Below are 25,827 nucleotides of genomic sequence, written 5' to 3'. Positions count from 1 at the left end.
TCCTGCTTCATAAATGGTACCTTATTGCTGTGTCCTCAGGTGGTGGAAGGATCAAGGCAGCTCTCTGGGCCTCTTTTATAAGGTCACTCTGCCCTCCTGACTTAATCACATCCCAAAGGCCCCACCTTCTAATACCATCACATTGGTAATTGGGTTTCAGCACATGAATTTGGGAGCAGGGGTGAGGGGCAGAAACATTCAGACCACATCAGAAATGTAAGTAAAAGTCATGGTGTATAATACTTAAGTATAATGAGTAAACAAATAGCTTATGAGACATAGGCAGAATCCATAAGATAGTAAGTTAGTAACCTGTAATACATGTTAACAATAAAGTTAATGGAGTATATAATGGAGCAAATAATAATGTTACTTATAGACAAAAGGGAGAAAAACAAGCCATGCTCATGTCTCACCCCCAATCCCACCAGAAGTACTTATATCCCTTTGAAGGCTTTTAGCATTTTACATGAACTTCTTGTTTGCTACCTTTTCCTACCATGCACACATCCTATTTCCACATCTGGACTGAAAGCTCCCAGAAAACAAACATAATGGCAGATGTATCCTTTCCTCCCAGGAATATTTGGCATTCAGATCTGCTGCATAAATACATTAAATGGATGATGGCATAACCTAGGCTTCTTAGCCAGGATTTTACTACTCTTTTCTTATGACACTTTCACAAAACTGTCCATCTGTGAAATAACTAATATTTTTAAAATTACACATTTTATTGAGTTAATGTTCCCTGTTATCTTAGTAGTTAAACATATGTATTGCCCAAACAGTTTAGAAGAGTTTTTTTAACTAAAAATAAACAAAAATTTACACACACACACACACACACAGGCTGATGCATCACATTTACACCAATTTTTTATGAAATAATAATACATAATAAAGGGTAATACAGTATAGCAGTTACGAGGATTGACTCCAGAGTTAAGCACCAGGTTTTGAGACCTGGATTTGAAATTTGTAGCTCCATGACCTTGGGTAAGTTTACTTTATATCTATCTTCTCTAGGTTCTCATCTATAAATGTTGGGAAAATAGAAATGGTACCTAGTACATGGAATTATTGTAGAGAATATATGAATTAAAGCAGACAAAAGTGCTAAGAACAGTGACTTGCATGTGGTAAGCCATCAATACATGTTAGCTCTTAGCATGGTCCTACGAATTCATTTTAAATAGATTTCCTTCTCTATACTCTGAATAACCTTCCAGAAAGAATGGTTTGCCATTTAAAACCAGATTCCAGTCTCACATCCTCCCTAGATAAGCAAATACATACACACTTATTATCAAAGCCTGGAAAATCTGAAAATAATGCTGAAGGTCATTAGCTCTAATAATACTCTCTTTGTGTTTGCTCTGTTCTGTTGAGTTTACGAATCATTTTCATTGCATCATTTGATTTTTGTAATACCTCTGCAACAAATCCAGCCATTCTTTTCCTTTTTTTTTTTTTGCAGATAGTTCAGTGATTTTATTTTATTTTATTATTTTTTATTTCCATAGGTTTTTGGCGAACAGGTAGTATTTGGTTACATGGGTAAGTTCTTTAGTTGTGATTTGTGAGATTTTGGTACACCCATCACCGAAGCAGTATACACTGAAAAAAATTTGTAGTCTTTAGCTCCTCACCGCCCCCAACCATTTCCTCTGAGTCTCCAAAGTCCATTGTATCATTCTTATGTCTTTGCATACTCATAGCTTAGCTCCCACTTATGAGTGAGAACATACAATATTTGGTTTTCCATTCCTGAGCTACTTTGCTTAAAATAATAGTCTCCAGTTCCATCCAGGTTGCTGCGAATGCCATTAATTTGTTTCTTTTTATGGCTGAGTAGTATTCCATCATATATATATATATATATATATATATCTCACAATTTTTTATCTACTGGTTGATTGATGGGCATTTAGGCTGGTTCCATATTTTTGCAATTCTGCTATCAACATGCATGTACAAGAATCTTTTTCGTGTAATGACTTATTTTCCTCTGAGTAGAAACCCAGTAGTGGGATTGCTGGATCAAATGGTAGTTCTACTTTTAGTTCTTTAAGGAATCTCCACACTGTTTTCCACAGTGATTGTACTAGCAAAAGGAACAGTCAGCAGGGTAAATGGACATTTACCTCCCAGAGTGGGAGAAAATATTCACAATCTGTACATCCGACAAAGGACTAACATCCAGAATCTACAAAGAACTCAAATTACCTAGAACATAACAAACAATCCCATCAAAAAGGACATGAATAGACAATTCTTAAAAGAAGATATACAAATGGCCAACAAACATATGAAGAAAGGCTTAACATCACTAAATGATCAGGAAAATGCAAATCAAAACTCCAGTGTGAAACTACCTCACTCCTGTAAGAATGGCCATAATCAAAAAATAATAGATGTTGGCGTGGATGTGGTGAAAAGGGAACACTTCTACCCTACTGGTGGGAATGTAAACTATTATTTTTCATTTTTGAAGGAGAAGGGTTAAAATGGCTTGCCTTGGTCTCCTAGAGGAGGGTCATGAATTCAGGGAATTACATTCATGGCCATAGACCTTCTACCCAACACTTGCAGAGCAGGTTCTACTGACAGATCTTAAGAGCTGGGATAGTTTCAATCCAATAGTCCCCAACTTGTCCTTCCCACACACGATTTCTTTTAAAAATTCCCAATAGGGAGAAAGCCTCTATGGTTTATTTCACTCAAGGATTTACTGCTAGGATCCTCTCTTCATTTAAGGTAATTATTAACTTCTGAGGAAATAAAAAGTAGAACCTCCTCTCAAAAACTGATGTATTCCCATCATTCACATCATGCTTTTTAATCACATTGCATGGCAGCAAAACATAAGAGCTAGGGCAGCACTGACTCAGAGATCATGGTCTGGGTTCCATTTCTATTGGTCACTTATCAACTGAATGACCTTAAGATAGTTAATGAACTTTCCTGTGCCTCAGTTTCATTATCTATAAAATGTAATTAACAATATTACTTTGGAGTTCCTTGTGAAGATTACAATAAATAATATGTGTAAGGTACTCAGAAGAGCACCTGGTGAAATAGGTATGAGCTCCTGCTGTTATTATTACGTATGAGAAAATAGTCTCAATTATTTCTCCCTTTGGCTGGTGCTGCAGCTAGCAAATGCAAGACTTATCACTGTATGAACCAAAATCATCGGTCCCCATAATGATAAAATGCTTAAGCCAAAGCATACCCAGCACCTCTCACCTAAGACCTTTAACTCTTCCAGAGCTGCTCTCCCACACGTATCTTAGAAAAAAATATTCATGATCTCACATTGCCCAAAAATATATCTTCACAAGTCAGCTTTCTGACTTTTACCCTCGTCACAATGATTACCCTCCAGTTTTGCCTAAGGAATAGGTTGCTATGGCAACATTCACCACCCACAGTCAACAGACAAATTTCATTTCTCAGCTACAACTATTAGAAAATAAATGGTCCATGTAACATTCTTTTGTTTCCCTATTCATTTGTGAAATTCCCTACCTGTTTGAGGCAATCATAATTGTAATAAAATGCTATTTTAAACATTTAAACAATAATTTGTTAATTCAGACAAATACATTATTCAAATTCTCAATGTTTCCAAAATAGCTTTCTGTCAATAAAAGGTGAAAAAAAAAGCACCATCATAAACTACTTCAGTTCCAGATTTTGTTTAGTCAAATTGCTTCTTGTTTTATAATAGAAACATGAAATGAATTGTAACATATTATTTGCTAAAAAGAATTTTCCATCTTTTATTTTTATCCCCCAGGCAAAAATGACTTATTAAACTGTTTCAGAACAAGAAGAAAGAAGGAGAATTTACTTCTCTTTAATAGCCTCCCCACCAAACCTATCATTATTCCCGCAATCTAAGCCAAAGTAATAACACATGCTGTGCATACACCACACATTTCCAGGTGGATGATGAAGGAAAACCTACTTCATGCCCAGCACTGAGATATCACATGTCAACAGCAGCCATGTTCTTCCTTTTCATGGCTAACTTCTCCTGGTGATTCCTTAATAAGCCATGTTTGCAGTTGAGTCTCCCCAGTTGTGAAGAAATGGGAATGGCAATAAGGAGGAAGCCTGACCCTATGACCCCTCTCTATCCTATAGGGAGATAAACAATGAACAAGCAGACCTGCCCCTCATTACTCCCACTCTTTCCACCTCTCAGCTTCCTAGTACCCTCTTTCTCCACCTATGGATACCCTTTACCATACTTGTGACTATTAGTCATAATCAAAACATAATTTAACCAGAACTTACATGGATATAATAACACTCTAAGTTTAATAAGAATATAGCTAAGAAAGATTTAGACTATGCTCTTATAAGAACTTTTCAGAATAAAACTCTTAGAAGTTTTGATTAAGTGCCATTAAAAATCAGCGTACATAAGTGTAATAGGCAGTTTTCATTTTTCCAAACCAAAAGACCTCCTTTTGTATTGTAACTTTACTGGGATCTCAATTGACTCATTTAAGGCAATAAAGACACAATTGTATATGTGGACAAAGGAGACAAATACAATTTGTGGGAGCACAGAAACTAGAAGTCATTTTAAAAAAAATCTGGCCTTATGAGAACATAAATATGATATGTAAGAATATATGTACTGATTTAGGCACACTCTGTGTTGAGTAACAGATGCATTCTGAAATTTCAAAGGAATGTTTTTTTTTTTTTAATTCAGAGAAAATGACTTACGGATTCTTATAAAAATTATAAATATCAAACAAGTCCTTCCTACCATCCTGACATTTTCTATTAACAGTGAGTAAATATCACAGCCAAAAATCAATGAAGTAATTCCTTTTGGAGAAATAACGTGAGTAGGTGGAAGAGAGGTGATGGATATATATCAGGAAAACTGATATCGCAATAGGTAGCAAGGGACTTGACATAGAGCAACTACATGGGAGAGGACAACTCCCTTTTGTGACAAGTCTAGCTTTCCAGTAGTGAAGATTAGTGAGTGGTTTCACTATAATTGGGAAGGAACTGAAAAATTTATCTTATTAAAAGTTGTTCTGAGTGAATTTTTAAAACACTAGATGACTATAATTTTCAACCTATAATAACTTATTTTTTTCTCATTATCCAATGCATTAGGTCCCCTGGTAATTATAATTTTAGGCAAATTAAATAACAGTTAAGAGAGACAAGATTGAAATATAATGCAAAGAAAAAAATATTACTTCCCTTGTATTCAGGATGGGAAGAAACTGAAGCAATTTCCTGGGATGAGATTGTACATCTACAAATCAAAGAGAATTCTCTGATGGTGAAATCCAAACCAAACCAAATTTTTACTAAAGAGTATCTTGGTTGTTTTTCTAATGGGTCTCAAGTGGAGACAGTTGCCAAGTTCAGTAGTTTCTAGTATTTATTTATTTATTTTGGCTTAAGACTGCAGAATATTTGAAATTAATAAAAGGTATGAGTGCAATATAACCCCTGATGACTATTCAGGATACAACATGAAAATTTGCCAAGAGCTTTGCTGGCACAGAATTAATCCCTTGGAGTACGTTAGTGGAAAGAAGAAAGAAAGTAATTCTCTCTCATCATGTCAATGGAAGGTATATTTTTCACACTCACCTTGGGTCCAATATAATAAGAGGTGCCCCCATTTGAATTTCTTTGACAGCATACACAGTTTAAACTTGAGATCACATTTAATGTGTCCCCTTTGTACCTAAAGAACGAAAAGATTTACACCTTGAGGCTATTTTCCATCCGACTGTTTTGAAAGGAGAGCACATTTGTTTGCTGAACTCTGTGAGCAGTGTCTGATGTAACTGAGTGGATGGTTCATTGTGAGGATAACATTCACCCTCACAAAAAATGACCACTAGTATATAGCATGACCAAAGTCTCAAAATGAGAACAGTAGTCACCACAGGCAACCAATTGGTCAAATAAAGCAGACGTTTACTTATTTTAATTATGAAAAGGTAAATCATGGTTCTGACTAAACTCTAGCAATAAAACAGGACACTTAATGAGCTTAATTTAACAGCTATTGATATTAATCAAACAATGTGCTCATTGCTATTCTAGTTGCTCTGGAGGGTACAAATATAGTCCCATTACAAAGTATTAATGACTTCAAGACATGTAGGTGGGAAGCCAAGGTGAACACACAGGAAACAATAGCAAATGATACAGAGCAGTATGTTCATGCTGCAAAGGCTTCTGGTTCTACTAAAGGCAAATAAGAAGCCATGCGATATTTTAACAGGATAGGGGATGGGGAGAGGAGGGCCACCTAAGTGTATGTGAATTTATAATAAAGCTGGAGGTGGTGTGGAGAGCAGAGTGCACTGGGGCAGGAGGGGTAGAGAGATGTTGCAGAAGTGGATTTGGAAGCCTGGTTTGGAGGCTATTATAAGGATCTATGTGACTTAGGAACTGAGGTTTTGAGAATAGAAAGAGCACAGTGGATGCCTTTAAGGCATATCTGAGGTGGCACCACAGGATAGAGTGGCTAATTGTTCATGGAAGAAGGGACAAGAAAGATGAGAAGGTATCTGTGGTTTCTCTCTTGAAGCAGAGTCTTAACTTGAAATAGGCAGTCTGTGTCATTTGGGCATGGAACAAAACCTGTCTGAAGGCAAGATGCTTTTAGTGTTAAGAATAGAATTAAGGCCGGGCACGGTGGTTCACGCCTGTAATCCCAGCCCTTTGGGAGGCTGAGGCGGGCAGATCACCTGAGGTCAGGAGCTCGAGACCAGCCTAGCCAACATGGTGAAACCCTGTCTCTACTAAAAATACAAAATTAGCCGGGCGTGGTGGCACACGCCTGTAGTTCCAGCTACTCTGGAGGCTGAGGCAGGAGAATTGCTTGAACCCAGGAGATGGAGGTTGCCGTGAGCTGAGATGGTGCCATTGCACTTCAGCCTGGGCAACAAGAGAGAGACTCTGTCTCAAAAAAAAAAAAAAAAAAGGAATTAAGTGCTGTGACTGTAGGTTACCCTTCTGAAAGAATTCAGGACTCAATTGACTGCAGGTAGTGCAGGTATACAAGTGGAAAGCAGGTTGGCCCTGAGTGTTCTCACCACCAGCACCCCTGAAAAGGCAGCTCCAACATTCACTCGGGGATTCACAGATGTGATGTGAAGCTACCGTTCTCATTCACTCCTCCAGTAGGATTTGACCCTGTTTCTGCACTTAGAACAGCTGCTTATCCTGGGACCTCTGCTTCAGTGATGCAGCCTGGTCCTTCCAGGACCAAGTAGTCTAAGTGGATTTTCTCTGTAATCCTCTGTGGTAGCTCCCTGTTGCTTTCCTTCATAGACTTATACTACGTAACTATTCATTTGTTAATTTATTTATTGCCTTTCATTAGACTATAAGTACCTTTAAAGCAAGGAGACATTTTCTTTTTATTTGTCACTGCATTCTCAGTATATGGCTTAGTGCTAAGGACATGGTAGGTGTTCAATGATATATGTTAAATAAATGGGCAAATTCTCTGTTTCAGTTCCTTTGCTTTTGATGCTTTGGATACCTTGCAGACTGTCTTCTTGAGTAAGAATTTGACAATCAGTCTTATGTGATTGGAGAAGAAGTAAAAGATAAAAGAAAAAACATTGATGAGACAATCTAACGGAATTTAATAGCTAAATAGATATAAGGTATGAAGGAGGGAGATATTAGTGACATCGAACTGGGTGACTATAAACTTTCTTTCTCCAATCTCTGCCCCTGGGGACTGCTGCACCACAGGCCACAGAGTTATGCTCTATCTTGGCAATTAAGTTAGAGATGTACTCAGATTCAAATGCGCAATCATATGGTAATTCTATTTTTGATTTTTGAGGAACCACTATACAGTTTTCCATAGCAGCTGCACCATTTTACATTGCTACGAACAGTGCACAACATGTGAATATACTTAACACTACTGAGCTGTACACTTAAAAATGGTTATGATGGTAAATTTTATGTTATGTGTTTTTTTAGACACAATTTAAAAAATTGTAAAGTGCTGATTAGGTGCCTAATGGGTGCTGCTAAGCATACCAGAAGCATCCTGGCTGACGAAGTTTTTGGATGATCCTGGCATGTCCAAAGCCAAATGTTTCAGTGAGGAGTTAGTGGGAAGAAAATGGGGGTTGAGTAATAAACCCATTCTAACTTTATCATGCCCTTCATTTTCATGCAGATGGATTAAAATATTTCTATTACTCCCAGGTGGAACACATTTGGAGACAAAAGACTGGTGGCGAGTCCATCTGAGGCTGAGAAATATCATAGGTAGAGGTTGTTTATTCAAGCAGCCAGCACATTGAGCTCTTATTCCTATTCTTTATAACCTCAAAAGACAGAGTTTATCTGCAACATGAAAGAGTCAGTGGAGGATCAGGGGAGTTGCCCCTCACCGCTGGGTTGTGATTCCTAGATGCAGCAAAATCAATGTGTCTGTCCTTTAGCAAAGGGGACCCAGCAAAACATTTTCTGAATTCTCTCCACTCTCCTACTATGCCTCAAAGAGGCTCTGGGAATGAGTGAGCAGGGATTTACACAGCCCTTTCCTTAGCTGAGAGTGTTGATGCCAAAGGGTGGAAGACTTAAAGTACATAAGAAGCCACTGTATCTCCCCCACCTCCTCCCGAATGCACATTTAAACATCATTCTGGGAACACTGCAGTCATTCAAGGCACCAAATTGTAAAGAACAATGTATTTCTAAACTCCCTCTTTGTTCTCCACCTCCATCTCCTGTGACTCTTTTTAAATAGAAGAGTGACCCTTTTAAATAGAAGAACAGGAAAACTAAAATGCTCAAGAGGATTCCCAGTCAAATTTCCAATTAGCATCTATCCAGTCATTTAAAGAGTATTGTCAGAAGGGTTATTAAACAATGACATATTCATAAATGTGTATAAGATGATTAATTCCTATTCTTTTATTTATTTATTTATTTATTTATTTTTATTATACTTTAAGTTTTAGGGTACATGTGCACATTGTGCAGGTTAGTTACATATGTATACATGTGCCATGCTGGTGCGCTGCACCCACTAACTCGTCATCTAGCATTAGGTATATCTCCCAATGCTATCCCTCCCCCCTCCCCCCACCCCACCACAGTCCCTCCTATTCTAAATATGAGTTATTGAAAGAAATTTGGTCCAAATTATCCCAATCTTAATAAACTCCAAAGCCAAACCCACAATAAGAACATTCAAAAAAGGTGTAATTTAGCAAAAATATAATAATAATGAACTTCAGTTTTTCATAGATAGATGTGGGTATGCTGCAACTAGTGTATATTTAGAAAGCAGCCTTTTTCCATCTCTTCCTACTGTGGTAAATCACATCATATTATGTGTCATCCATACAAAACAAAGGGATAACATACCAAAAAGATAGATGGCATCCAATTTTATTGAATAGATTTACCTAAATCCCTGCTGTTTTAAAACAGAAACATTTGATGCTAAATCTAAAGGTCAAACAAAAATCCTCTGAATGTATCAGATTTGAAACACTTTATAATTGTAAGAATAAATCACATATCTGGAATAGACAAGCCAAAATAGAATCTGTTGTGCAGGGGTGTGTGGATTTGTCAGATACATAGGCCTTAAAATGAGCCAGATATCAAGCCTAGATAATAATAATTGCAGAGTTCTACTGCCTCTACAAGGTAAATGCTAAGTAACTGCTGATTATCCCTAGTACTTACAAAGTGATCATAGATAAGCCTAATAGGATTTGAATTTAAGTAGCTGTGATTTTTTCCCTCCCTCTTCCAGCTCTGTGAATTGGAAATTCTGCAAGTACCAACAGAAAAGGCACACTTTCAGACTTAAGGCACGCCCTGATGGGCAAGCACATTTACCATGCAAATCCTCCCAGACCAGATCGTAGCATGGAGCTACAGCTCGATTGGACATCATAAGCTGCCCAAAAATCTAAATAAAATACTGCTCACTTTGTTATAATAAGAGTTTCTCAACAACAGGTCCCAAAGCAGTACATCAGATCAATTTATCAGAAGGCACACTAGCCAATGGGCCTAGAACACTGCTGGTCTCATGGAACAGTAATCTATTAACAAAAAGTTACAAAATTCTCTGTGTTCAATGACTAACGTACAACATTTTTCTAAATCACTGGCACTTTATCATATTGTGTGTAGTGTGTGTGTGTGTGTGTGTGTGTTTGATCAACTTATTTTCTGGGTGCTGACTATATAACAGCTACATTATTAGGAACCTAGGATAAATGCTGAAGAAGGCAGACACAATGCCACCCTCAAGAAAGTACAGTTTAGTGAAGCAGAGTTTCTCAAATGTCTAATGTGTGTACAGAAAACAACAAGAGTCTGTTAATATCCAAATTCTGGTTCAGTGTGTCTGGAGTAGGGCTGAGTCTGCATTTCTAATATACTCCCTTTACTGTCAATGTTGCTGGCATTTGAGTAGCAAGGTACTAGACAAAACAGGTGTTGAATCACACAAATAACTATATGCTTACATTTGTGATCGTGCTATAAATAAAACAATACAGGGGACCATGAGATAAAATAAAGTGGGGGACACAATCCACAGTACTTCAGGGCTGGGAGGCCAAAAGCTGAAGGATGGTGGGAATATGGCAGGCTAAGTTATTGGAACCAACTATAGTTACTGCTATACATACCCTTGGTGTCTCTCTGACTACAGTTCTCCATACACCAGAGTGCGCCTGGCCTGTGCTCAGGGGGCGCTGGAAGTGCGTAAGACCAAATTACCTGGAGCTACCTGGTTGAAGGGCAGAATTTGTAAATAAATATCTCAGCTTCATCACCCCTTAGTGGGACATGCTGAGTTGGGTTTCATAGGCTCTCAGAGGGCTCACAGCAGGATTGGGCTCTAGTTGCCTACAGCTGTAATACTTATATTAACTTCAGTACTCCTCTTTTCCCTGTCTCACATCCCTTTTCCTTGCCTGTGACTTCTGGGCTCATCTCCAAATAAATTACTTGCTCCCAAATCCTTGTCTCAGGGTTTGCTTTTGAGGGAATTCAACTTAAGAAATCAACCCTCTCAGAGAGCATGACTAACAAGGCCAAAATATACACTGTATATGTGCATATGTGTGCCTAAGGGTATACGTAGATATGTGTATAAGTGTATGTATAGATACACATGCACACACTCACAAAACCAGGTGGAAATATAAGGGGGAGGAAGAACACAGGAACCTAAAGTGAACAATGAGATTACCTTTGCTCTTGGGCATTTGCCAACCCTGATGATCTTGAACTTCTGTTTTAATGACCTCCCAGGGAGAAGGGAACAAGTGTCTAAACCCAATCTCACCAGATAAGATCCTCCTACCAATCAAATGAACTGCATCCTTAATGTCAAGGTAAAACAGAAACTGTACCTTCTAATCCTAGTAAACTTTAAGGGAAATTGTGTTGGGATTGAGCAGAGCAGGGAGGAAATATCCCAAAGAAGTTGTAACTATAAGCTGGCTCTGTTGTATTTCCTGACTTGGATGGTGGCTGCATTGTTGTTTGGGAAACTGTACATAAGTGTTTCAGTCACTTTTTTTGTATACACATTGTATTTTATAATTTTAAAAAATGTAATTTTAAAAATATAACAGACACTAGAGTATTTTAAGTGAAGAGAAATAAGTAAGAAGCTAGGTGTTTTGGAGGAACAGAGAAGAGGTCATTCTGGGTAGAGTAAAATGAGCAACAGAGGATGGTGGAAGATGCATTCATACATTCATTCACTCATTTGTGACAAGTACTACGTTTTTTATGGAGCTTACATTGAGTGGGAGACAGACAAAAAACAATCAAACAAATAAATTAACAAGATAAATTCAGAGATTAATAACTGCTATGCGGAAAAAAATAAGTTGATGTCACAGAGACTGGCATAAATATTTGGTGGGTGGGTAATTGAGACTGGATTGCTTGGAAAGATCTTGCCAAGGTGTTGGCAATTGAACTGAGACCAGAAGGAAGAGAAGATAAAGCTGGGCAGGGGCATAGGAACAAGGCTTTGTAGGTTCCTCACTAAGAATTTTGAGCTTTATTTTTGGAGCAATGGAAAGCCATTAAAGTGTTTACATGGAAGAGAGACATAACCAGTCTAAGGTTTTTTAAGATCATGCTGATGACTGTTAAGAATGGATTTGATGGGTCCCAAAATGGTGGAGGCAGGCCAGTGAGAAGACATATGATGGCCAGTATGTTCGAAGTTGATACACAAAACAGGATCTATTCAAATTATATGGTAGGCTCAGAATTAAACACTCCTTACAAATACTTGTGGAACAAACTGTGTCCCCTAAGTTTGACTAATCCTTTCTTTTTGGCTACAGTGATTGTACCAATGATTGGCAAATGATCTAAGCTGGGTCAGTCAGAATCCTTTTTTGGGGTTTTCCTTATGAAGCTACAGCAGAAGATTCCTTCTTCTGTAGAATGTTTTAAGGCTGCGACTTGAGAACTGCCGATCTTGTATGAGGGTGTTTGGAGAAGGCCCACAAGAAGTAGGCGAGGAGGTAGCCATGCAGAGAGAAGAGAAAGGGAGAGAAATTGAGACAAATCCCGAGTGTTAGAGTCTCCTGGTTGCTGTGGTTTTGACAGTATTCCATTTGACTACAAGAACTACCCCAGAATTTTACCCAGTTATATGAATCATACAGTGCTCTTTTCTATTTAGCTAGTTTGAGTTTGGTTTCTGCCAATTACAAGTGAAAAAACCTGACCAGTATAAGAGGTGAGGGAGGCGGAGGTGAGCCTCTTGGGGGATAGAAGTCACATTTACTGAAATAATGGAAAAGATGAGAAGCCAGCTGGACAGGGAAGAACCAAAGTTGTTTGGCAAATAAGAGTTTAAAATACCCATGAGATATCAAAGTGGAAACATTAAGTAGATGATGAATATATCAATTTAGAGCTCAGTCAAGAAGAGTGGACTGGGTATATAAGTTTGGGCATCACTGGCCTAGACATGATATCCAAAACCACAGGATGGCATGAGATGAGATTAGCTGGGGGAGAGACTATTCAGTGGAATCAGAAGGGGACCCAGGACTAAGTCCTGAAGAACTCCATGAACTATGGACCTGATATCATTTTTAAAACACCAAACTTGAACCAAGAAGAACATCTGCAACCCATTTACTTGTCAAAACCCATACAGCAGTAGTCTGTTCTGTTCTTTGCTGAATGATGTTAATTAATGCCACAAATTTCACCTTCATTATCATCCGTCAAAAGAACAAAAATAAATGCTGGGTGAGAGGTGTGTGTGTATGTGTGTGTGTCTGTGTGTAACTGTATAACTTTAAGTAAATAAGACTAATTTTTTGAGAAGTTTATTATTTTTTTAATTGGACATTTTATTTTAGATAAAGGGTACATGTGTAGATTTGTTACATGGCTATATTGCAGGATGCTGAAGTTTGGGATATGGATCCCACCACCCAGGTAGTGAGCATATTACCCAACAGGTTGTTTTTCAATCCTCACTTCTCTCCCTCCCTCCCCACTCTAGTAATTCCCAATGTCTATTGTTCCCATATTTATGTCCTTGTGTGCTCAATATTTAGCTCCCACTTTAAGTGAGAACATGCAGTATTTAGTTTTCTGTTCCTGCATTAATTTGCTTAGGATTATGGCCTCCAGCTCAATCCATGTTGCTGCAAAGGACATGATTTCATTCTTTTTTATGGCTGTGTAGTATTCCATGGTGTATATGTACATTTTTCTTTGTCCAATCCACCACTTATTTAGAATAGCCACCAAGAAAGTGAAATACCTAGGAATACAGCTAACCAAGGAGGTGAAAGATCTCTTCAAGGAGATCCATTATAGAACATTGCTAAAAGAAATCAGTGATGACACAAACAAATGGAAGAACATTCCATGCTGATGGATTCGAAGAATCAATATTGTTAAAGTGGCCATACTGCCCAAAGCAATGTACAGATTCAATGCTATTCCTATCAAACTACCAATGCCATTTTTCACAGAATTTGAAAAAGCTATTCTAAAGTTCATATGGAACCAAGAAAGAGAGAAAATAGCAAAAGCAGTCTGAAGCAAAAAGAACAAAGTTGGAGGCATCACATTACTTGACTTCAAACTACACTATAAGGTTACAGTACCAAAAACAGCATGGTACTGGTACAAAAACAGTCACACAGACAAAACAAAACAAAACAAAACAACACAATAAATAACTCAGAAATAAGGACACAGGATTGAAGCAAGATGGCCGAAAAGAACAGCTCCAGTTTGCAGCTCCCAGTGAGACCAATGCAGAAGGCAGGTGATTTCTGCATTTCCAACTGAGGTACCCAGTTTATCTCACTGGGACTGGTTAGACAGTGGGTGCAGCCCACAGAGAGTGAGCAGAAGCAGGGTGGGGTGTCGCCTCACCCAGGAAGGGCAAGGGGTTGGGGAACTCCCTCCCCTGGCCAAGGGAAGCTGTGAGGGATTGTGCCATGAGGGATGGAGCTATGAGGCCCAGATACTATGCTTTTCCCATGGTCTTTGCAACCCACAGACTCAGGTGCCTACACCACAAGGGCCCTGGGTTTCAAGCACAAAACTGGGCGGCCATTTGGGCAAACACAGAGCTAGCTGCAGGAGTTTTTTGTTTTTGTTTTTTGTTTTTTAACCCAGTGGCACCTGGAATGCCAGTGAGACAGAAACATTCACTCCCCCTGGAAAGGGGGATGAAGCCAGGGAGCCAAGTGGTCTTGTTCAGCGGATCCCACCCCCACGGAGCCCAGCAAGCTAAAATCCACTGGCTTGAAATTCTTGCTGCCAGCACAGAAGTCTGAAGTCAACCTGGGATGCTTGAGCTTGGTGGGGGGAGGGGCATCTGCCATTACTGAGGCTTGAGTAGGCGGTTTTCCCCTTACAGTGTAATCAAAGCCACAGGGAAGTTCCAATGGACAGAGCCCTCCACAGCTCAGCAAAGCCACTGTAGCCAGACTGCCTCTCTCTAGACTCCTCCTTTCTGGGCAGGGCATCTCTGAAGGAAAGGCAGCAGCCCCAGGCAGGGGCTTACAGATAAAACTCCCATCTACCTGGAAAAGAGCACCTGGGGGAAGGGGCGGCTGTGGGCACAGTTACAGCAGACTTAAACATTCCTGCCTGCCAGCTCTGAAGAGAGCAGCTGATCTCCCAGCACAGTGCTTGAGCTCTGCTAAGGGACAGACTGCCTCCTCAAGTTGTTCCCTAACCCCCATGCATCCTGACTTGGAGACACCTCCTAGCATGGGTCGACAGACACCTCATACAGGAGAGCTATGGCTGGCATCTGGCAGGTGCCTTTTTGGGATGAAGCTTTCAGAGGAAGGAGCAGGCAGCAATCTTGGAGGTTCTGCAGCCTCCGCTAGTGATACCCAGGCAAACAGGGTCTGGAGTGGACCCCAGCAAACTCCAGCAGACCTGCAGAAGATGGGCCTGACTGTTAGGGGAAAAACTAACAAACAGAAAGAAATAAGATCAACATCAACAAAAAACAAAACATCACAATCATTCAAAAACTTCATCTGAAGGTCACCAACAGCAAAGACCAAAGGTAGATAAATACATGAAGATGAGGAAAAACCAGTGCAAAAAGGCTGAAAACTCCAAAAAACAGAATGCCTCTTCTCCCCCAAAGGATCGCAGCTCCTCACGAGCAAGAGAACAAAACTGGATGGAGAATGAGTTTAAAGAATTGACAGAAGTAGGCTTCAGGAGGTGGCTAATAACAAACCTCTCTGAGCTAAAGGAGCATGTTCTAACCCAATGCAAGAAAGCTAAGAACTTTGATAAAAGGTTAGAGGAATTGCTAACTAGAATAACCAGTTTAGAGAAGAACATAAATGACATGATGAAGCTGAAAAACACAGCATGAGAACTTCGTGAACCATATACAAGTATCAATAGCTGAATCAATCAAGTAGAAGAAAGGATATCAGAGATTGAAGATCAACTTAATGAAATAAAGCTTGAAGGCAAGATTACAGAAAAAAGAATGAAGAGGAACAAACAAAGCCTACAAGAAACATAGGACTATGTAAAAACACCAAACCTACATTTGATTGGTGTACCTGAAAGTGACAGGGAGAATGAAACCAAGTTGGAAAACACTCTTCAGGATATTATCCAGGAGAACTTCCCCAACCTAGCAAGACAGGCCAACATTCAAATTCAGGAAATACAGAGAACACCACAAAGGTAGTCCTCAAGAAAAGCAACCCCAACACATAATTGTCAGATTCACCAAGGTTGAAATGAAGGAAAAAATGTTAAGGGCAGCCAGAGAGAAAAGTCGGGTTACCCACAAAGGGAACCCCATTAGACTAACAGCAGATGTCTCTGCAGAAACCCAACAAGCCAGAAGACAGCGTGGGCCAATATTCAACATTCTTAAAGAAAAGAATTTTCAACCCAGAATTTCATATCCAGCCAAACTAAGCTTCATAAATGAAGGAGAAATAAAATCCTTTACAGACAAGCAAATGCTGAGAGATTTTGTCACCACCAGGCCTGCCTTACAACAGCTGCTGAAGGAAGCACTAAATATGGAAAGGAAAAACTGGTACCAACCACTGCAAAAACAAACCAAAATGCAAAGACCATTGACACTATGAAAAAACTGCATCAACTAATGGGCAAAATAACCTGCTAGCATCATAATGACAGGATCAAATTCACTCATAACAATGTTAGCCTTAAATGTAAATGGGCTAAATCCCCCAGTTAAAAGACACAGACTGGCAGATTGGATAAAGAGTCAAGACCCATCAGTGTGCTGTATTCAGGAGACCCATCTCACATGCAAAGACACACATAGGCTCAAAATAAAGGGATGGAGAATAATTTACCAAGGAAACGGAAAGGAAAAAAAAATAGGGATTGTAATCCTAGTCTCTGATAAAACAGACTTGAAACCAACAAAGATCAAAAAAGACAAAGAAGGGCATTACATAATGGTAAAGGGATCAATGCAACAGGAAGAGCTAACTATCCTAAATATATATGCACCCAATACAGGAGGACTCAGATTCATAAAGCAAGTTCTTAGAGACCTACAAAGAGACTTAGACTCCCACACAATAATAGCGGGAGATTTTAACAACCCACTGTCAATATTTAGACATATTAATGAGACAGAAAATTAACAAAGCTATTCAGGACTTGAACTCAGCTCTGGACCAAGTGGACCTAACAGACCTCTACAGAACTCTCCACTCCAAATCAACAGAATGTATATTCTCCTCAGCACCACATCACACTTATTCTAAAATTGACCACATAATTGGAAGTAAAACACTCCTCAGCAAATGCAAAAGAACGGAAATCATAACAAACAGTATCTCAGGCCACAGTGCAATCAAACCAGAACTCAGGATTAAGAAACTCACTCAAAACCATACAACTACATTGAAACTGAACAACCTGCTCCTCAATGACTAATGGGTGAATAACAAAATTAAGCAGAAATAAATAAGATTTTTTGAAACCAATGAGAACAAAGACACAACATAAAAGAATCTCTGGGACACAGCTAAAGCAGTGTTTAGAGGGAAATTTATAGCACTAAAGGCCCACAGGAGTAGGTGGGAAAGGTCTAAAATCACCACACTAACATCACAATTAAAAGAACTAGAGAAGCAAGAGCAAACAAATTCAAAAGCTAGCAAAAGACAAGAAACAACTAAGATCAGAGCAAAACTGAAGGAGATAGAGACACAAAAGAAAAACTTCAAAAAATCAATAAATCCGGGAGCTGGTTTTTTTTTGAAAATATTAACAAAATAGATAGACCACTAGCCAGACAAATAAAGAAGAAAAGAGAGAAGAATCAAATAGACACAGTAAAAAATGATAAAGGGGAGATCACCACTGCTCCCACAGAAATACAAACTACCATCAGAGAATACTATAAACACCTCTATGCAAATAAACTAAAAAATCTAGAGGAAATGGATACATTTCTGGACACATACATCCTCCCAAGACTAAACTAGGACGAAGTTAAATCCCTGAATAGACCGATAACAAGTTCTGAAATTGAGGCAGTAATTAATAGCCTACAAACCAAAAAAAGCCCAGGACCGAACAGATTCACAGCCAAATTCTACCAGAGTTACAAAGAGGAGCTGGTACCATTCCTTCTGAAACTATTCCAAACAACAGAAAAAGAGGGACTCCTCACTGACTCATTTTATGAGGCCAGCATTATCCTGATACCAAAACCTGGCAGAGACATAACAAAAAAGAAAAATTCAGGCCAATATCCCTGATGATCAGTGAGAAAATCCTCAATAAAATACTGGCAAACTGAATCCAGCAGCACATTAAAAAGCTTATCTACCATGATCCAGTCAGCTTCATCCCTGGGATGCAAGGCTGGTTCAACATATGCAAATCAATAAACATAATCCATCACATAAACAGAAGCAATGACAAAAACCACATGATTATCTCAATAGATGCACAAAAGGCCTTCAATAAAATTCAACACCCTTTCATGCTAAAAACACTCAATAAACTAGATGTTGATGGAACATACCTCAAAATAATAAGAGCTATAGATGACAAACCCACAGCCAATATCATACTGAAGGGGCAAAAGCCAGAAGCATTCCCTTTGAAAACTGGCAAAAGACAAGGATGCCCTCTCTCACCACTCCTTTTCAACATAGTATTGGAAATGTTGGCCAGGGAAAAAAGGGCCAGAGAAATAAATAAAGGGTATTAAACAGTAAGAGAGGAAGTCAAATTATTTGTTTGCTGATGACATGATTGTATATTTAGAAAACCCCATCGTCTCAGCCCAAAAACTCCTTAAGCTGATAAGCAACTTCAGCAAAGTCTTAGGATACAAAATCAATGTGCAAAAATTACAAGCATTCATATACACCAATAATAGACAAACAGAGAGCCAAATTATGAGCAAGCTCCCATTCATAATTCATACAAAGGAATAAGATACCTAGCAAGCTCCCATTCATAATTGATACAAAGAAATAAAATACAAAGGAATAAACTTATAAGGGATGTGAAGGACCTCTTCAAGGACAATTACAAACCACTGCTCAAGGAAATAAGAGAGGACACAAACAAATGGAAAAACATCCCATGCTCATGGATAGGAAGAATCAATATCACGAAAATGGCCATACTGCCCAAAGTAATTTCTAGATTCAATGCTATTCCCATCAAGCTACCACTGAATTCCTTCACAGAATTATAAAGAACTATTTTAATTTCATATGGAACCAAAAAGGAGCCCATATAGCCAAGACAATCCTAAGCAAAAAGAACAAAGCTGGATGCATCATGCTACCTGACTTCAAACTATACTACAAGGCTACAGTAACCCAAGCAGCTTGATACTGGCACCAAAACCAGATATATAGACCAACAGAACAGAACAGAGGCCTCAGAAATAATGCCACACATCTACAACCATCTGATATTTGACAAACCTGAACAAAACAAGCAATGGGGAAAGGATTCCCTATTTAATAAATGGTGTTGGGAAAACTGGCTAGCCATAAGCAGAAAACTGAAACTGGACCCCTTCCTTACACTTTATACAAAAATTAACTCAAGATGGATTAAAGATTTAAATGTAAGACCTAAAACCATAAAAACCCTAGAAGAAAACCTAGGCTATACCATTCAGGACATAGGCATGGGCAAAGACTTCATGACTAAAACACCAAAAGCATTTGCAACAAAAGCCAAAATTGACAAATGGGATCTAATTAAACTAAAGAGCTTCTGCACAGCAAAAGAAACTATCATCAGAGTGAACAGTCAACCTACAGACTGGCAGAAAACTTTTGCAATCTATCCATCTGACAAAGGGGTAATAGCCAGAATCTACAAGGAGCTTGAACAAATTTATAAGAAAAAAAAACCAACAAAAAGTGGGTGAAGAATATGAACAGACACTTCCAAAAGAAGACATTTATGCAGCCAACAAACACATGAAAAAAAGCTCATCAGCACTGGTCATTAGAGAAATGCAAATCAAAACCACAATGAGATACCATCTCATGCCAGTTAAAATGACAATCATTAAAAAGTCAGGAAACAACAGATGCTGCAGAGGATGTGGAGAAATAGGAATGCTTTTACACTGTTGGTGTGAGTGTAAATTAGTTCAACTATTGTGGAAGACAGTGTAGCGATTCCTTAAGATTCTAGGACTAGAAATACCATTTGATCCAGCAATCTCATTACTGGCTATATACCCAAAGGATTATAAATCATTCTACCATAAAGACACATGTGGGCCAGATGCAGTGGCTCACGCCTGTAATCCCAACACTTTGGGAGGCCAAGGCGGGCAGATCATGAGGTTGGGAGATGGAGACCATCCTGGCCAACAGGGTGAAACCCTGTCTCTACTAAAAATACAAAAATTGGCCGGGCGTGGTGGCATGTAGCTGTATTCCTAGATATTTCACTTCCTTTTTGGCTATTCTACATGGGATTGTGTTCTTGATTGACTCTCAGTCTGAATGTCATTGCTGCATAGAAATGCTTTTTCTGCATTTATTGAAAAGATCATATGGTTTTTGCTTTTAATTCTGTTCATGTGTATTAATTTTTGATGTGCTGCTGGATCCTGTTTGCTAGTTTTTTGTTGAATATTGTTGTGTCTATGTTTATCGGATTGGTCTGAACTTTGTCTTTTACGTTGTGATTGCCAGATTTTGTTATCAGGTTGATACTGGTTTCATAGAATGTGTTAGGGAGGAGCTCCTCTGCCTCAATTTTTTGGAATAGGTTCAGTAGGATTGGTCCCAGCTCTTCTTTGTATATCTGGTAGAGTTTGGCTGTGACTCTGTCTGGTCCAGGGCTTTTTTTAGGTTGCTCAGTTTTTTATTTCTGTTTTAATTTCAGAGCTCAATATTGTTCTATTCAGGGTTTCAATCTCTTTCTGATTCAATCTTTGGAGATTACATGTTTCCACGAAGTTATTCATCTTCACTAGATTTTCTAATTTGTGAGCATAGAGTTGTTCATAGTAGCCTGTAAGGATCTTTTGTATTTCTGTGTGATCACTTGTAATGTCATATTTGTCATTGTTGATTGTACCTATTTGGATATTTTCTTTTATATCTTGTTAATCCAGCTAGTAGTCTGTAAATCTTGTTTACTATTTTGAATGACAAACTCTTGGTTTCATTGACCTTTTTATGAATTTTGTATCTCAATCTTGTTCAGTTCACTAATTTTAGTTATTTCTTTTTTCTGCTAGCTTTAGAGTTGGTTTTTTCTTTTTCTTTTTCCTAGGTGCAAAGTTAATTTATGATAAATCTTTAACTTCTTGATGAAGGCGTTTAGTGCTATAAACTTTCCTCTTAACACTGCTTTACCTGCATTCCAGAGATTTTAGTAAGTTGTGTCCCTATTTTCAAAGATTTTTTTTATTTCTGCCTTAATTTCAGTGTTCACCCAGGAGCTATTCAGGAGCAAGTTGTTTAATTTCCATGTATTTGTACAGTTTTGAGAGATCTTCTTAGTATTGCTTTCTATTTTTATTGCACTGTGGTCTGAGAGTGTGTTTGGTATGATTTCAATTTTTTTGAGTTTATTAAGACTTTCTTTATGAGTGAGCATGTGGTTGATCTTAGAATATATTCTGTATACAGATCAGAAGTATGTTCTCATCTTCTGATCTCATCTCATCTTCTGATCTCATAGTCTGTGATTGTTAGGTGGGGTGTTCTCTAGATGTCTATTAGTCCAGTTGATCAAGTGTTGAGTTTAAGTCCAGAGTTTCTTTGTGAGTTTTCTGCTTCAATAATCTGTTTAGTCCTGTCAGTGGGGTGTTGCAATCTCCTACTATTATTGCGTGGCTAAGTCTTTTCATATATTAAGAGGAACTTGTTTTATGAATCTGGGTGCTGTAATGTTGGATGTGTATATATTTAGTATAGTTAAGTCTTCTTGTTGGATCACAGCCTTTATCATTATGTAATGCTCTTCTTTGTCCCTCTTGTTATTGATTTAAAGTCTGTTTTATCTGATATAAGAATAGCAACTCCTGCCCTTTTTTGTTTTCTGTTTGCATGGTAGATCTTTCTTTACTCCTTTACTTTGAGCCTATGGGTGTCATTACATGTGAGATGGGTCTTTTGAAGACAGCAGAGAGTTGGGTCATGTCTTTATCCTTCTTGGCATTATATATATCTTTTAAGTGAGGCTTTTAGCCCATTTACATTCAGGATTAGTATTGGTATTTGAGATTTTGATCTTGTCACCACGTTGTTAGCTGGGTGTTATGTAGACTTGTGTATTTGCTTTATAGTGTCTTTGGGCTATGTGCTTAAGTGTGTTTTGTGGTAGCAGGTGTTATTATTTCAATTCCATGTTTAGTACTCCCTTGAAGACCTCTTTTAAGGCTGGTCAAGTTGAAATGCATTCCATCAGCCTTTGCTTGTCTGAGAACAATTTTATTTCTCCTTCACCTATGAAGCTTAGTTTAGTGGTATATGAAATTCTTTGTTGAAATTTCTTTGGGATGATAAAAATTGGCCCCCAATCTCTTCTTGCTTATAAGGTTTCTCCTGAGAGGGTCCACTGCTAGCTTTACAAGGTTCCCCCATATGTGACCTGACCCTCCTTTCTAGCTGCCTTTAAGATTTTTTTTCAGTGACCATGGTGAATCTGATGACCATGTGCCTTGGGGATGGTCATCTTGTATAGTTTCCAGATGGGGTTCTCTGTATTTCATGAGTTAGTATGTAAACCTCTCTAGTGAGATTAGGGAAATTTTCATGTACTATATCCTCAGATATATTTTTCAAGTTGCTTATTCTCTCTCCTTCTCTTTCAGAGATGCCAATGTGTCATAGATTTTGTCTCTTTACATAATCCCATATTTCTCAGAGGTTTTCTTAACTTTTTCAATTTTTTCTTTATTTTTATCTGATTCAAAAAACCAATCTTCAAACTCTGAGATTCTTTCCTCAACTTGTTCTATTCTGCCAGTAGTTCCAATTGTATTATGAAATCCTTATAGTGAATTTTTCAGCTATAAAAGTTCAGTTTGTTTCTTTCCTAAAATGGCTATCTTGTCTTTCCACTCTTGAATTATTTTACTGGATTGCTTGGATTCCTTGGACTAGGTTTCAACTTTTTTCTGAATCCCAATGAGCTTTTTGCCATCCAGATTCTGAATTCTACGTCTGTCATTTCAGTCATTTCGGACTGGTTAAAAACCATTGCTGGATAGCTAGTGGACTTCTTTGGAGGTAAGGGGACACTCTGGCTTTTTGAATTGCTGAAGTTTTTGTGCTGATTCTTTCTTGTCTGGGAAGGTTGGATGTTACTTTAGCTATGATGTAAGTTGACTGTAGTCATTTCTGTATGTTTTCAGAGGGCTAAGGCTCTTTACAGGGACTTTATTTGTGGCTGAATTCTTGCCCTTGGTTTCAGTGGGTGGTATATTAGCAAAATATTTTTGGAATTGTAGTTTGGGCTGTGATTCAGGAGATAGCACTTAAGAGTAATGGTTGGTAGATAGGCACTTAGGTGTGCAGCTCTTTTGTATTTCCTCACATTTGCAGCAGTGCTCTGCAGTGCAGGGTGTGCTGGGAGAGAGGTGACTCCACTACTAGGACTTTTCCTGGGCCTTAGGGGCGCTCCCTCTGATCACTGACACCATGCCTACATTTCTTTTGTTAGGTGTTCTGAGCCACAGGGATTCATCTAGCAGAGGCCATGGCAGAGACATGGACCATACCTTTTTCAGACTGTCCCTGCAAAGGGAGGTATGTCCTGCTCCTTTGCCAGCCCAAGAAATCACACATCTTACCCTTCTTAGTGCTCTGAGAATGTGGGCTTCTCCCCTACTTGAGTGCTGGCCAGTGATCTTGGTTCAGCACCGCAGAACTATGTGCTGTAGTCCTGGGGAGCCAGGACCGGCTCATGGCTCCATCCTCCGGACCCTTGGGCTTAGGTTCTAGGTGCGCTAGGGTATCTGAAATGCTCCCAGGCCACGAGGAATGCACTCAGGTGGAGCAAAATGCCCAGGCTGGGTAAAGAAAATGTGGCACATATAAAGCATGGAATACTTGCAGTCATAAAAAAGGATGAGTTCATGTCCTTTGCAGGGACATGGATGAAGTTGGAAACCATCATTCTCAGCAAACTAACACAAGAACAGAAAACCAAACACCGCATGTTCTCACTCATAAGTGGGAGCTGAACAATGAAAACACATGGACACAGGGAGGGGAACATCACACACCAGGGCCTGTCAGGGGGTGGGGGGCTAGGGGAGGGATAGCATTAGGAGAAATACCTAATGTAGATGACAGGTTGATGGGTGCAGCAAACCACCCTGGCACGTGTATACCTATGTAACAAACCTGTATGTTCTGCACATGTACTCCAGAACTTGAAGTATAATAATAAAATAAAGAAAATATACTGAAAATATATTTTAAACATAATTAACATTTTGATTTTATTTTTACTTTTCATTTTGAAACTCAACCACTCAGAATTAAATTAATTTTAATTCCTGCTTCATGTCCATTCACTTATTTATCCAGATATAGCCATTTTGATTTATTTGTTCATTACTAATTATTTATTTTTAATAATGGAATAAAGATTCCATTATTTGGGTAGTGACACAAAGCCACTGCACAAAACAAAAGCTAGGACTCTATCAACAGCCCATATCAAGCCTGCTAGTTCCCCTAACATTCCATCCTTCTCTTTCCTCTCACCCAAAAGGCGCATCACTAAGAATCTTATGTTTATTGTTTCTTTTGTCTCATTTTATTGTAACTATTTTTCTAAAGAATACACAAACATATATCTAGTACTGTTCTTTTAATTGTATAAAAATGTCAGACTCTGTATCGTTTTTGGAACTTCTGTCCATTAACATTGTATTGCTAAAATAAATTCATATTGTTACTTGCCACTATATTGTACTAATTTTTACTCCTATATAATATTAAATTAGTGAATATACTACAGTTTATTTTTATACTGTTTTTGGATATTTTGATTGATTCAACGTTTTGTTAATATGAATAGTGTCACTATAAACATTTTTTACATATCTTCTGTTGTACATGTGCAAAAATTTCTCTTAGTTTTATACCTTATCATGGAAGTGCTAGAGTTTGCAAATATTCAATTTTAGTGAAAAAAAGTGTCAAATTTTTCCAAAGTGGTTGCTCTAATCTGTAACATGTAAAAGAGCCAATAGATTCACATTTGGTATTATAAGATTTTTAGGCATTTGGAATCCAGTGGGGGTAAAATGGTTCTATATTATTATCTTAATAAATATTATTAAAAAATAGAAACTTTCCTCCATTTCTAATTTGGTCAGATAAACTGTCTATTTCAAACTAATTACAAAACTATTTACGTCCTACTTTGAGCTAATTTTTTCTAACTCTTGTGTCATTCCATGATATGGTCATGGTCATGGTCAGTACTCTCATATAGTCGTTATGGCCAATGTGTTCTCTGCTATAATCCCACTCCCCTAGACAGAATGTCAGGGAGTGAGATCATGTATTTACTTAAGCTTTCCAGCTATTCATTCTTTCTTACTGTAGACACCTCATCTCATCCCAAACGATTTTTAAAGCTATCTAAGAAATTTCCATTGACTACTTAAGTTTGAAAAAGATTTTATTAAAAATATTGCACTACATGGACACATTTACAAACACAGTCATAAGATTGCAATGGTCTATAGAGAGCTGGCCCAAGTGACTAAGTATTTTTTAAAAACCATTCAATTTGATTTCTGGATTT

General features: G+C 38.3%; 1 long non-coding RNA gene across 1 annotated transcript in view; it reads right to left on the bottom strand.

The window, feature by feature from the left end:
* LOC112268136 (uncharacterized) overlaps positions 1–25,827 on the bottom strand; it is a 55,886-nt gene that overhangs the window by 28,241 nt on the left and 1,818 nt on the right. Inside the window, exon 2 of the long non-coding RNA NR_169588.1 lies at positions 5,644–5,740. This is a non-coding gene — a long non-coding RNA (uncharacterized LOC112268136). The remainder of the gene's footprint in view (positions 1–5,643; positions 5,741–25,827) is intronic.

This window comes from Homo sapiens, chromosome 14 (assembly GCF_000001405.40).
Source record: "Homo sapiens chromosome 14, GRCh38.p14 Primary Assembly".
Classification (NCBI taxonomy): Eukaryota; Metazoa; Chordata; class Mammalia; order Primates; family Hominidae; genus Homo; species Homo sapiens.
Note: the sequence above shows the minus strand (reverse complement) of the source record. Positions and strands in the feature narration are given on the sequence as shown.